We start from the raw sequence: 14,399 nt of genomic DNA, 5'->3' as shown, positions 1-14,399 counted from the left end.
TCAATTCATTCATTCTTTCCCTCACTCATAAAACCTACATTAAGCACTTACAATATGCCATGCATTTGTAGGGGCAAAAGGCGTTTTCCCTCCCTGCTGAGGTTTGACGTTTGAGTCTGAGAAATAAGCTGACAGTAGATGGACAGGAGAAAAGGCATACAAATTCATTAACATGTATATGGACATGAGAGTTCTGCAAATATGAGACTCAAGGAAGAGCCAGATGAGTGAGGTTTTTATACTACATAGAAAGGAATACAGGCTTGAAGTATAGCGACAGGTTATGGGAGGGAGAAGGGAGGAAAGGCATGGTGAGCAAAAGCTGTCATATTATCCAAATGAAACTTCACAGGAAACAGCCCTTAGAAAGAATAGATGGTAGCCTGTAGTAAAAGTTTCTCTGTCAGAACTTTAAAAGTGTCAGACTTTTAATGTCATTTTCCTGTGAGTAAATGTTTCCTAGATCTGGAAAAGGCAAATGTATTAGGCTGTTCTTGCTTTGCTGTAAAGAAATACCTGAGACTGGGTAATTTATAAAGAAAAGAGGTTTGATTGGCTTATGGTTCCTCAGGCTGTACAGGAAGCATGGTGCTGACATCTGCTCAGCTTCTGGGGAGTCCGCAGTGAGGTTTTACTCATGGCTGAAGGCAAAGAGGGAGCTTGCATATCACATGGTGGGAGCAGGAGCAAGAGAGAGTGGGTAGGGGAGGTGCCATACACTTTAAACAACCAGATCTCTCAAGAATTCACTACCACGAGGACAGCACCAAGTCATGAGGGATCTGCCCCCATGACCCCAACACCTCCCACCAGGCCCCACCTCCAACATTAGGTATTACATTTCAACATGAGATTTGGGGTGGGGGACAAGTATCCAATCAACATGAGATTTTGGGTGGGGGACAAGTATCCAATCTATATCAGCAAATAAGGGAATCTCAGAGAAAGCCTGTTTGCATCCACTTTGATAATGTAGAAATGGTTCTGCAGATGCAAATTTCCTCCACAAAGGATAGCTCTTCAAAACTATTTCCTGTCTGCAGCCCCTCTAAACAGCCATCTTGAAATATGCCAAAGAAGTATATTTTGGGGTGGCATACTCTGGTTTCCTTCACATTGTACTAGGTGTTAAGACACAAAGATAACCTGATACCCCAAGAGATCACTTCTTAAGGAGGATATAGACATGTAATCAGTTAACGACACAGTCTATTTAGTCTATACACCACTAGCAATATATCTAAAGATATAGAAAGTACAATGAATGTTCAGAAGGAGCACACTTCACTTGGCCTGAGAGAGTCTGGTGGGGCTTGAAAGACTTTAGAGAATTGTCAGGGGAATAGTTGGGACGGGGTAGGGCTGTAGATCATTTTAGCAGAGATAAAACAAAATGTGTAGGACCAGGGAGGCTCAAGGGAAGGTGTGTTCATAAAACTGCATCTAGTTTGCTATTCCCATAGCATTATATAGTTTATGTTCTCACTGGATAAGCCAAATTACAAATATGTATATACTGTCAGCCATGCAGAGTGACTGTGGCATGGTTGTTAGTTTTATAAAATTAGGTTCATTCCACATTAAATCCAGCTGCGGATAAAGAGGAATTTTAATGAATTGCAGAACTAAGAGAACTGAGGCCACCGAAGCTTACTTTCCAGAGGTGCACTGGCATTGCCATATCTGTCAAAATGCATTCAGGTCGATAAAACTGTTCAAGATTTGTATTAAAGAATGGTCTGAATTTCCCTAGTTTTATGAAAAATACAAAGATGAGTTGCATATAAATAACACTTAAGTTCTCTTTCAGTCCTGAGAATCTATGAAATGGAATTTCATACATTTAAACCAAAATAAAAAATCATGGTCAAGCAATATAAAAAATATATATATTCACGCCTGTAATCCCAGCACGTTGGGAGGCCGAGACGGGTAGATCATGAGTACAAGAGATTGAGACCATCCTGGTTTAGTAGAAACCCCGTCTCTACTAAAAATATACAAAAAAATTAGCTGGGCGTAGTGGCGGGCGCCTGTAGTCCCAGCTACTCGGGAGGCTGAGGCAGGAGAAGGGTGTGAACCCGGGAGGTGGAACTTTCAGTGAGCCAAGATTGTGCCACTGCACTCCAGCCTGGGTGACTGAGCGAGACTCTGTCTCAAAAAAAAAAAAAAATTATATTGCAAAACTTAAGTCATAATTGAAACTGAAACTGGTATTTCCCTTTCTCCAGTGAAATAAGACTATGTTTTGGAAGTGAAGATAATGACTACTGTATCACTGTTAAGCAAGTCAGGTATTTTGAAATGTTTTTCTTCTGGTGAGATATATGCGACTGATTTATTATCTCTACCATTTGTTGCCAATGACAAATAGTTATAGGAAAATATAAATTAAGTTTAATATATAGTAGGCTAGGCTATTTATTTGTTTGCTTTCTTTTTATTCAACCTTCACAATAGGCTTAGGAAATTGGTGCTATTATTTGCTTGTTGCTATTAGTGTTGTATGTGGGTTTTATTTTAGGAAATGGAGGCAGAAAGAGGTTCGGTCACTTACCTAGTAATTGAAGTGGTGGGGAAGTGGAGAGATGGCTTCTGTATTTGTCCGTTTTCACATTGCTGATAAAGACATACCTGAGACTGGGCAATTTACAAAAGAAAGAGGTTTAATTGGACTTACAGTTCCACGTAGCTGGGAAAGCCTCATAGTCATGGTGGAAGGCAAGGAGGAGCAAGTCCCATCTTACATGGATGGCAGCAGGCAAAGTGAGAATGAAGAAGATGCAAAAGCGGAAACCCCTGATAAAACCATCAGATCTTGTGAGACTTAGTCACTACCACAAAAACAGTATGGGGTAAACTGCCCTCTTGATTCAATTATCTCCCACTGGGTCACTCCCACAACACGTGGGAATTATGGGAGTACAATTCGAGTTGAGATTTGTGTGGGGTCACCGAGCCAAACCATATCATTCCATCCTGGCCCCTGCCAAATCTCATGTCATCACATTTCAAAACCAATCATGCCTTCTAAACAGTTCCACAAAGTCTTAACTCATTTCAGCATTAACTCAAAACTCCACAGTCCAACGTGTCATCTGAGACAAGGCAAGTCCATTCTGTCTATAAGCCTGTAAAATCAAAAGCAAGCTAGTTATTTCCTAGATACAATGGGGATACAGACATTGGGTAAATACAATCATTCCAAATGGGAGAAATTGGCCAAAACAAAAGGGCTACAGGGCCCATGCAAGTCCAAAATCTGGTGGGGCGGTCAAATCTTAAAGCTTCACAATGATCTCCTTTGACTCCATGTCCCACATCCAGGTCACGCTGAGGCTGTACTGTGTGGCTTTGCAGGGTACAGCCTCCTTCCTGGCTGCTTTCATGGGCTGGCATTGAGTGTCTTCAGCTTTTCCAGGTGCATGGTGCAATCTGTCAGTGGATCTACCTTTCTGGGGTGTGGAAGACGGTGGCCCTCTTCTCACAGCTCCACTAGGCGGTGCCCCAGTATGGACTCTGTGTGGGGGCTCCAACCTAACATTTCTCTTCCACATTGCCCTAGCAGAGGTTATCCATGAGGACCCCACCCCTGCAGCAAACTTTTGCCTGTGCATCCAGGCATTTCTATACATATTATGAAATCTAGGTGGAGGTTCCCAAACCTCAATTCTTGACTTCTGTGCACCCACAGACGCAACACCACGTGGCCGCTGCCAAGGCCTGTGGCTTCCACCCTTTGAAGCAACAGTCCAAGCAGTACCTTGGCCCCTTTTAATCACAGCTGGAGTGGCTGGGACGCAGGGCACCAAGTCCCTAGACTGCACAGAACACAGGGACCCCGGGCCTGGCCCAGGAAACCATTTTGTCCTAGGCCCCCAGGCCTGTGATGGGAGGGGCTGCCATGAAGACCTCTGACATGCCCTGGACACATTTTTCCCATTGTCTTGGGGATTAACATTTGGCTCCTCATTAGTTATGCAAATTTCTGCAGCCAGCTTGAATTTCTCCTCAGAAAATGGGATCTTCCTTTCTATCACATTGTCAGGCTGCAAATTTTCCGAAGTTTTATGCTTTGCTTCCCTTATTAAACTGAATGCCTTTAACAGCACGCAAGTCACCTCTTGAATGCTTTGCTGCTTAGAAATTTCTTCCACCAGATACCCTAAATCATTGCTCTTAAGTTCAAAGTTCCACAGATCTCTGGGGCAGGGGTAAAATGCTGCGAGTTTGTTTGCTGAAACGTAACAAGAGTCACCTTTGCTCCAGTTCCCAACAACTTCCTCATCTCCATCTGAAACCACCTCAGCCTGGACCTTATTGTTCATATCACTATCAGCATTTTTCTCAAAGCCGTTCAACAAGTCTCTAGGCCTAGCGTCCCAAATTTTCCCACATTTTCCTGTCTTCTTCTGACCCCTCAAACTGTTCCAACCTCTGCCTGTTACCCAGTTCTAAAGTTGCTTCCACATTTTTGGGTATCTTTTCAGCAATGCCTCACTCTACTGATACCAATTTATTGTATTAGTCCGTTTTCACACTTCTGATAAAGACATACCTGAGACTGGGCAATTTCCAAAAAAAAAAAAAAAAGAGGTTTAATTGGACTTACAGTTCCACATGGCTGGCGAAGCCTCACAATCATGGTGGAAGGCAAGGAGGAGCAAGTGCTGTCTTACACGGATGGCAGCAGGCAAAGAGAGAATAAGGAAGATGCAAAAGTGGAAACCCCTAATAAAACCATCAGATCTCGTGAGACTTTTTCACTACCATGAGAACAATATGGGGGAAACCGCCCTCATGATTCATTTATCTCCCACTGGGTACCTCTCACAACATGTGGGAATTATGGGAGTATAATTCAAGATGAGATTTGGGTGGGGACACAGAGCCAAACCATATCAGCCTCCCTCCACTCTCATAGGTTATTTAGCTGGGCTCCAAATTAAATTGACATAAGACAGATTAATAGGAGAAAAAACATTTAATTATGTACATATGTACAGGGGTTTTGCAAAAATAGGAGACCTAATGAAGGGCCGGATGATTGAAGCTTATATAGCCCCCTATGCAATGGAAAGGAATAGGGGATTGGGGATTGTGGTGGTAGGGGTGAAGAGAAGTTATGGGAGGGTGAAGGGAGAAAATGTATGCTGGATAAAGTTTGCCTTGTTATGCAGTTAAAAAATCTTTCAGGTTAAAAAAAATTGCCATGGGAGCAGCCCTCTTTCTGATACAGATACATTTACAAATGCAGATTTCTTTAATAAATATAAATTTCTTTTACAAAAGAACAGTTTTTCAGAGCTACTCTTGTGTCTGCAGTTTCTCAAAATAAACAGCTAGAAATATACAAAATATATTTTGGGTGGCATACTTTCGTCTCCTGTTTTTTTTTTTTTTTTTTGAGACAGGTCTCACTCTGTCACCCAAGCTGGAGTGCAGTGACACGATTGCAGTTCACTACAGCCTTGACCTCCCAGGCTCAGGTGATTCTTTCACCTTAGCCTCCAAGTAGCTGGGACTACAGGAGCATGCCACCACATCCGGCTAATTTTTTGTATTTTTAGTAGAGATGGGGTTTCACCATGTTGTTCAGGCTGGTCTTGAACTCCTGGGCTCAGCAGATACACCCACCTTGGCCTCCCAAAATGCTGGGATTACAGGCATAAGCCACCATGCCAGACCCTACTGTCATCTTTTTAGGTGGTGTGTCCTCAGCCCCAACACTGACATATCATGCCATTAATCTCTAATAAGACCAGAAGTTGGCCAGGATCAGGGTGTAGACAATAGCCTGGCGCTATAGAAGCTAGCATTTTCAGCTCTTCTTCCGTGCATTTTTATGTTAATGCTCCCCTTGAATCAAACTGGTTCAAAAGCTGCCTAGTGTAGTCTTTATTCCCTTTATTGACCTGATCTGTTATGCCTCTGATCTAAAATGAATTTATTTAAGTTACAAATGTTCTTTAAATGTGCCCAACCTCTTCCCAGAAGCATTAGGTCAATTCAATAATGCCTTTCACCTTTGAAATTCTGGGAGCATTTATTGTCTGTACTGCTAAATTGGCACTCATTATGTGAACAGATATTTATCAGATTATTTGCACAGTTTTAAAACATTTTTATTGTTATATATATAATTTGTGTTATATCTGTGTGCCTTATAAGACACTCTGTTCTGTATGTCTAGTCCAACGATTTACAGGAGTAAACATTCAGTATGTTTGCTCATGATTATGGCAATCAAAGAATATTTAATTGAGCCACAGGAACATCCAACTTATGGCCTTAACTTTTTTAGAACCAGGAACTAACTCATCTGAGAACACAATTTTTTTATTCTAGTATTTATTTCTTTGTATACAGAGTTCTAGAAAATGATATGCCATACACGATTAATGAGTAAATTATAATTAAGCACAAGAAAACAGCTTGAGGTATCAAAAATGCATCAAATGATTACCTTAAGAGAATGTACTGGCTCTTTCCAATTTCTCCGTGGTTTTTTTTTTTTTTTTATCCTTTTTGACAACATCACAAAGGGGCTGAGGAACAAATGTGGCAGATGCTGTGTGTCTGTATTGTCTGTATTCAGACTGTGTATAGATAGTATATGAACCAGACTGCAACATTGCTCGCATGCTCATTTAGATTGCTGACATGATAGATGCTGATGACCATAGTAAAACCCGTTGGGAAAACTGCCAAGCTGAAATAATCATCAGGATTTGGGGCCTTTAGAGGTCATGAATGTTTACATTTTTCAGTAGTTTTAGAGAATTTTGCTGTACTTTTAAAGCTACCATTCGAATTGTTTCCAACTTGAGACTTCTCTAGATTGCAAAACTTCATGTAAATACCCATAGAATCACATTTGTAAAGGGTTATATGCAAATATGTAGGAGTTGCTTTTCCTGAAAGCTTTTATCATAAGTGACTGTTGATCATCAATTAGTTAAATCTAGGTCTATAGGAAAAGTTTCTCAAATATATGGTTTGACCAAAACTATTTTATTCTACTACTTCTCCTCTTGTTTTTTGTTAAATTGTTCTTAAAGAAAAATCCAGGTGGGAACTTGACTTGCTGATAGCCAATAGATATATTATTTTCTCCTCAAAACTATGTTTACACAACAGGAGACAAAATAAAAAGAATGCCAAGTACAAGATTGGTTTCTCCAAGTTCCATGATTCAATAAAGTTCTTACCCTTAAGTAGAGACAACAGTAATTCTTATTATAAAATAGAAGATTGCGACTTCTACTTCCACAGATAGCCCAGTCAGCTACAGAGTGACAAGGTTGATCAAACTTTATGCTGGATGTAAGTTTAGGCTGTTTTGATCAGGACGTCTAGGCCCTGAACTTATGAATCTCCCATACTGCTACTTGTTTGCTCCATCTCTGGCCCAGACCTCCACCCCGTGTGCAAATATCTCCTGCCTCAAACTTCCTGTTATTGAAATATTTGATGTAGTTTAAGCTTCAATACCCTCCTAGTCATTTTGAACCTCACCTTGCTCCCCCTTCTCCTTTTCCCAGCTATCTGTCCAGCAATTTCTGCTTATATGCTTGGCTCAGCTTGGTCTTTGAGTGTTTCCCTACTGCAAAAGTCCCTCTGCCTCTATTACAATAGTCCCCCTTAATGAAGTGTTTTCTTACTAACTTCAAGACTTCCATGTTTTTACGGTAGGGGGTGGGGGGCGCAGAACTTAGACAGCAGACACTATCATATTCTAGAATTTCCCCACAAATAATTACATGAGCGAGGCTTCAATTTTCTCATGTCTAAAGTGGGAATAGTGAGTTCTTCCTTTTTCCACCAGAAAAACATACCCGTGTTTCTCAATTTATGATGGGAGTTTCATCCCAAAAAGCCCATTGTGAATCAGGGAGCTTACTGAATGCATATCACTTCTGTACCATTGTAAAGTCTGTACCATTGTAAAGTCAAAAAATTAAAAGCTGGCCATGTAAGTCAGGGACGGTCTGTATTCAGGGTGACACACGAGAAGACATATTTTGCTATGAGTTATTTTGAGTATGGTGCTGTGTGAGATCATTACAAGTTGTTATTATTATTCCCATTAATATTGTAGGGGACGAAAGGTGTGATCCCTTTCTTCACCCACCATAAGTGGGTGCCATAAGTGGCACAGCTGACACGCCTATATTAAAAGGCAGATTAACAAAGCATACAAATTTATTTAATTCAAGTTTTATGTGACACGAGAGACTTCAGAAATGAAAACCACAAAACCCAGGGAAAACTTTTTATGCTAAAGTTTCTGATTTGATAATTTAATGAAGTACAGATAGCCATGTAGAAATGTGACTGGACAAGGGGGTATGCTCTAAGGGTAATAGACTGAGGGGGAGGCAGATTCAGCAAGACCTGTCTGTTCACATTCTTCTTGGTTTCTCTGTGTAGCATTTCTTCCTCCGAGATATGTGGCAGGACCTCTCTAGAATGAAAGCCTTCAAGAAAAAAAGAATAGAATCACTTTTCTAGGTTTTCTGGCTTGCTTTCGGGGACAAGGTGTTGCAGTTTCCATGCTCTGCCTTGGGAAGGAGGAATTCTGGTTACTATGACTTGCTTCAGGGGGGCAAAAAAAAAAAAAAGGAAGAAATGGAAGGGCGAGAGAAGGTCAGAGAGATATTTTGTTTCTGAGGCTGTTTCTGAGGCCTTCCAATCTCCTTTAGTTCAAAGCACTCAGCATGCCAAAGCACGATACTTTAAGGGATTGTTTTCTGGACCCCAGCAATATCAATGACGTCTTTTAATCCAGTGGTTTTCCAAGTGTGGTCCTTGAAAGGCTTTGGTCCAGTAGTAGCAGTATTACTTGAGAACTTGTTAGAAATGCAAATTCTTGCTTCCCACTTTAGACCCATCAAATCAGAAACTTTCAGTCTTAGGCCCAGCAATTTGTGTTTTAATAATCCCTCCAGGTAGTTCCGATGTATGTTCAAGTTTGAGAACTTAATAACTATTTAAAAGATATTAGTTTGAAAAAAAATGCTTTTTTTTTTTTTGCCAAGAACTGGGAAAAAATTTGTATGCAACAGCAGTTGTGGTTACCCACGCCTAAAAATAATGCCTAAATGCCTTAAAGTCATTTTAAATAATGTGATTATAGGCATTCTTTCTGGTAGATAATATGGATGTTTGACTCATTTCTTATTCTTATTTCTTTGATTCTTGAAGAGATATGAATGAACACAAGAGGCACATTTTCTGAAGCAGAGCCCTAGAATTCCTCTCACATACTACTCTCATCATGATAAAAAAGAAATCACTACTGATGGATGACTCCTGTACTCTGTGAGACATCAAGCCCTATTAGTCACTCATTTATGCCATTTAAATGCTGGATTTTGTTTTCAGTGCTGCAGGCCCATTACCAAAGAGGGCCCAGCTGTTACTTTTTTGCTTTGGGGACATTCTCTGCAAATTCAATGGGTTTTGCTTCAATTCAGAAAATGGAAAGCATTAGGTTTGTAACAATAATCATATATCTCTCCAGGGCTCTTGTAGTATCAAGCCAGAGAGAAGAATAGTAGTAATTGGTTAGATTCATCAGAAGGGCAAATTTATTCTCATGTCTTTTTGCAGTGGGCAAGGGTCCACTGAACAGTTGGACCAATAGGCACAATGTTAGAATTATATGAATACCCAACATTTGGGTGGCACTGTTAAAAATACATTCAATAACTATCTTTTCCATATTTATGTTCATAAAAACTCAGATTAGGTAAGACAAGTAACCCACTAGTTTGAGCAGATGATATCTCATTCTTTTGACTCAATATTTTTCTTTTAAAGTGGAAGCAGTGGGAAGACTTACACAATTAACAATGGAGATTAATTCTATAGTTCTTTCTCCCCCTGGAGGAGAAAGATACTTCTTTGGTACACTTAACTACTGTGAATTGATCTCTAAGCATTCCGACTTATATTTTTAGCAAATAAGATTTTTCACTCCCCTTTAACTTCTCCAAGTCAAGAGGATGGCAAGGCCCACTCCTGTCATCAAGCTAAGTAACCTGGCATCGGGTTAAAATGGGAAAGAATGTAGAGAAAATACCCACATAATGGGAGTGGATGGAGGATACTTATGGAGAGAAAAATACATAATTCAAAATACTGAAGGGGAAGATAAGAACTCAAGGCTTCTGGCTCATTTCATGTTTTCTCTGTGCTAAGATTGATCAGTTTTGGAGTATGAAACTGTTTTACTTCAAGGAAGTCATACCTAATATTAAAAGGCAGTGGTCCCCTATGTTTTATGAGTTGTGGTAGGAATTGCTTTTCCTGAAAACTTTGAGATAACCAAGTTATTAAGCATGTATGACCAGAGTTAGGGGTGGGAAACACCTACGGCTGAGAATAAAATTGCTTGCATCATGGGATGTGAATGCTGTTGCTAGCATGTTCCTCTCAGAAGTTGGAAATTGGAGGAAGGATTGAAAGCAACATAAAGATATAGGAAAAACTCTATTACATTATTTTTCTTAAGTAGATTTATTAGCAGTTTCAACAAGAAGGCAGAGTCTGTGGTTAAAAGGCAGCAAACTTCTTTAAAGAATTTAAACCTCTCTAATGTTGGCCTCAGAACACAATACCCAAAATTATGGTACTTTGACATGCTGAATACATTGAACTGAAGGAGATTGAAAGTTCCTAGAAGCAAGAAGTTCCCCCTGAACTTCTGCCCTCCTTTCTTCTCCTCCCATTTCTCTCATGAAGCAGGTTCTATCAACTAAAATTCTTCTTCATGGGAAGCTTTGAAGATGGTGGAGGAGGTGTTAGAGGTTCAAATATAGAGATTAAAATATGAAATAATCGCCAATTAGTATTATCAACTGAATATCAAGTTCTAGGAAAATGATGTTTTATAGCATTATGAAGAAGTGTATTCCCATTTGTTTGATCCTCTAGGTGGGAATGGAGAATTAATATTTGTTGAGAATGAAATAAATGTCCTGTGCATTGAACCCATTTGCATTCTTAGTGAGAATCCCACCTCGCACTCCTCATGAAAGAAGTCAGAAAGAGTAAAACCTAAATGAGGCATTTAAAAATTATTTTTACATAATCTTTTTTTTTTCTTTTTTTTTCACTTCTTCTTCTTCTCTCTCTCTCTTTTTTTTTTTTTTTTGAGACAGGATCTCACTCTGTATCCCAGGCTGGAGTGCAGTGGTGTGATCATAGCTCACTATAACTTCTAACTCCTGGGCTGAAGCAATTCTCCTTTCTCAGTCTCCTGAGTAGCTGAGACTACAGGTAGTCACCACCATGCTCAGCTAATTAATTTTTTTTTTTAAACAGGGTCTCACCATGGTGCCCAGATTGATCTAGGCTCAAGGGATCCTCCTGCCTCAGCCTCCCAAAGTGCTGGGATTACAAGAGTGAGCTACCATGCCCAGCCATAGTCTTATTTCTATAGTTTACCTTATCAGTGTCACATGTCTTAGAGGTTTCAGCTTATTAATTTCGTCCAGTTTTTTTTTTCTTAGCAGAGGTCAAAATGAAGGATGCAGTAGGTCAAAGTTTAACAGCTGCTGAAACAAACTTATTTCATTGAAACTTAAGCTATTGAGGTAATATGAGGGCTGCTATTTGCAATAGTGTGCTCTGTCAGAAATTGAATTTGTGTTTCTGAAATGAAAATTGTGTCCCAGTTTGACTGTACCTAAAGAGGAAAATGACTACCTGGGGTCAGGATATCAGATTGACTAGTGATAGCAATGAAAGAAAATATGTTTTAAGTGAAATGGTACATGTACTCTGACTTAAAGAATTTATAAATTTCACAGCTTGAAAATACTCTATCCATTATAAATTTTGGTTACTTTGAACTGGAAAATATTTTTATTCAGTGGTCATTTCCTCCTGTCATCATATTCACTCTTCATATGAGTATAGTTTGGCATTACTTACACAGTTTTTCACTATTTAATTGTGTTTTATATTTGATTTCCAAGTTTATATTTTTAGTTTTTTTTCCTTCTACTTTCGTTTGGCTTATTTTGTTATTCTTTCACTAGTTTTTGAAGTTTAATGTTTAGCTAATTGTGTTTAGTCTTTATTTAAGCAATAAAGTAGTAATACTAAATATTTCTCTCTTACTTCAGCTGACTCTATATGCCATCTCTATTTTTATCATTTTGTAAATAATTAATCATTTATGTTTTATTTTTACTTTGATTTAGTGCTTATTTAACAAAATGTTTTTATGTGTTTAGGTCTGACGGTATGTCTTCTTATTGTTGACTTTTAAATTTATTAAATTGTAGTTTAGGAGAATGAGCTAATATAATCTCTAATAGCTTAGAATAATTGAAGTAATTTATTATTTTTATTTATTATTATTACCATTATTATTAACAACTTTGTGAACAAAAGCATTTATTTAAATGTTTTATGGTTATTTGTATTCTCTATTTGTAGGATTCAAAGTTTTATATTCAACTTATTGAGATTATTATAGAAATGAGGTATATTTGAGAGGGTCAAATATTCTAAAAGAATATTTCAGACACCACCTCCTCCAGCAACAAAAATAGCTACAAACCAATATAAATTTCATGTTAGTTATTTTCATACATATTGAAAACTTTACTGTACATTAAAAGGTTGTACAGACAGCCCTCCATATCTGTGGGTTTCACATCCATGTATTCAACCAAGCATGGATCAAAAATATTGAGTAAAAAAAAAAAAATCCACAAAGTTCCAAAAAGCAAGACTTGAATTTGCCATGTGATGAGTACTACGCTGAATCCACATGAATGAAGAGATGTGTAGGACTTGTATTAGGTATTATAAGTAGTCTAGAGATGATTTGAAGTATACAGGAAGATGTGGTTAGATTTTATGCAAATAGTATGACATTTTATATCAGGGACTTGAGCATTCATAAATTTTGGTATCCCAGAGGGTTCCAGGAACAAATCCCCAACAGATATCAAGTGACAACTGTACTTGAATAAAAAGTTTTCATAATCACAGAATGTGGCATAGTGGGAAAATCATTGGACATTTAATTTTGGCATTAAGTAACTATGTAACTTTAGAAAGAATCACTTTACCTCTTTGTGCCCTTTCAAAATTAGCATAATTATTACTTAGCCTACCTCATAGGGTTGCTGTGAGTATCAAATTAGTTACGACATGGGGATTGCTGTGAAGAGTCTTATTACCATATAAATGTGAGGCATTAGTTCTACCTTGTGGGTAAATGGCGGCGGTAGCTGACTTGGGCCTGACCTAAAAATATACAATAAGAGTTACCATAGCAAATGCCTGTCAACTGGTCATTTCTCCCAGCCTACCTATGCTCAATTTTGACTATGACACCCTCTCTGGAAGTTTTCTTTTGCTCTGAAATCCTCTACTTTATTAGGTTTTTCACTTCAGTGAACCTATCTTTGCTCTTTCTCTACGTGTAATAAGCTTGGGGGCAACAGATTGTTCAGAAACACTTTTATCAACTGAAAACAAAGGGTCTAGGAAGCCTTCAGGGGTTTGGAGCATTTTAAATAATCGCTTGACATTCAGACTGTGTCTACATGACTAAAACAAATGACTGGGAAATGAGTGAAGTAGAATACACAGGGGTGTTAGTTTCATAGTATGAAAGTTATGTGTGTCCTGCAGAAAGTTACGTCAAAAGACTTACTTGAAGCACTCATATTTGGGGGAGATTGCAAGTTTGATTGCTCTTTAGTGGTCCCAATCAGGTATTAGGCTTTTTTTTTTCTGTATCTTTATTCTATTTTTCTTTCTAGATCCCCAAAAATGCGGAGGGAAAAGTGATCAAGTTGTATCTGATGTGAGTGGCTTTATGTATTAGGATACAATGTATATAGGGAAAAGATTATAAATTTAGCATGATAATACCTAAACAGTGCCTGCCTTTTTCTGGTTATATGAGCTGGACAAGTCATTTAAAATCACTCAGCCTCAGTTTCTTTACCTGTAAGGTAGACTTAATGACTATTTCTTTTCTCACAGAGTTACTATGGGAATATACTTGGAATAATGAATGCATATAAATGTTGCTATAAAGAATAAATATAAGGACTTAAAATTATTTTGGCATTCTGAATAGAAATGTATTCTCAATAGGAGTGACTGTATTATTCTTGTTTTATTTTGAAATAGCAAAAACTAATAAAAATTTAACTCAACATTCTGTCTCCTTACAGCACTTAGAATTGAGAAGAATTTGCTATTTGTTTTCTGTGATACTGAGACCTGAGAAAGTTGAAATGTACAACTTTAGTGCCAGAGGGCTAAGAACATGACAATCCAATACAAACTAAAACTAATAAAGAAAATTGTAGCCTGAGTATATGTTTCTGGTACTCTCTTCCTCCCATCTCATTGCTTAC

The 14,399-nt window shown here is 38.4% G+C and overlaps 1 annotated feature.

The window, feature by feature from the left end:
• Window positions 2,966-3,609: an enhancer, noted in NCBI's record as "H3K27ac-H3K4me1 hESC enhancer chrX:113040105-113040748 (GRCh37/hg19 assembly coordinates)". NCBI's record gives its function as "activates a minimal SCP1, AML or CMV promoter by ChIP-STARR-seq in naive H9 embryonic stem cells {active_cell/tissue: H9 hESC(naive)}" and the evidence as "EXISTENCE:reporter gene assay evidence [ECO:0000049][PMID:30033119]".

The sequence above is a fragment of the Homo sapiens genome, chromosome X, assembly GCF_000001405.40.
Source record: "Homo sapiens chromosome X, GRCh38.p14 Primary Assembly".
In the NCBI taxonomy this organism is placed as follows: Eukaryota; Metazoa; Chordata; class Mammalia; order Primates; family Hominidae; genus Homo; species Homo sapiens.
Note: the sequence above shows the minus strand (reverse complement) of the source record. Positions and strands in the feature narration are given on the sequence as shown.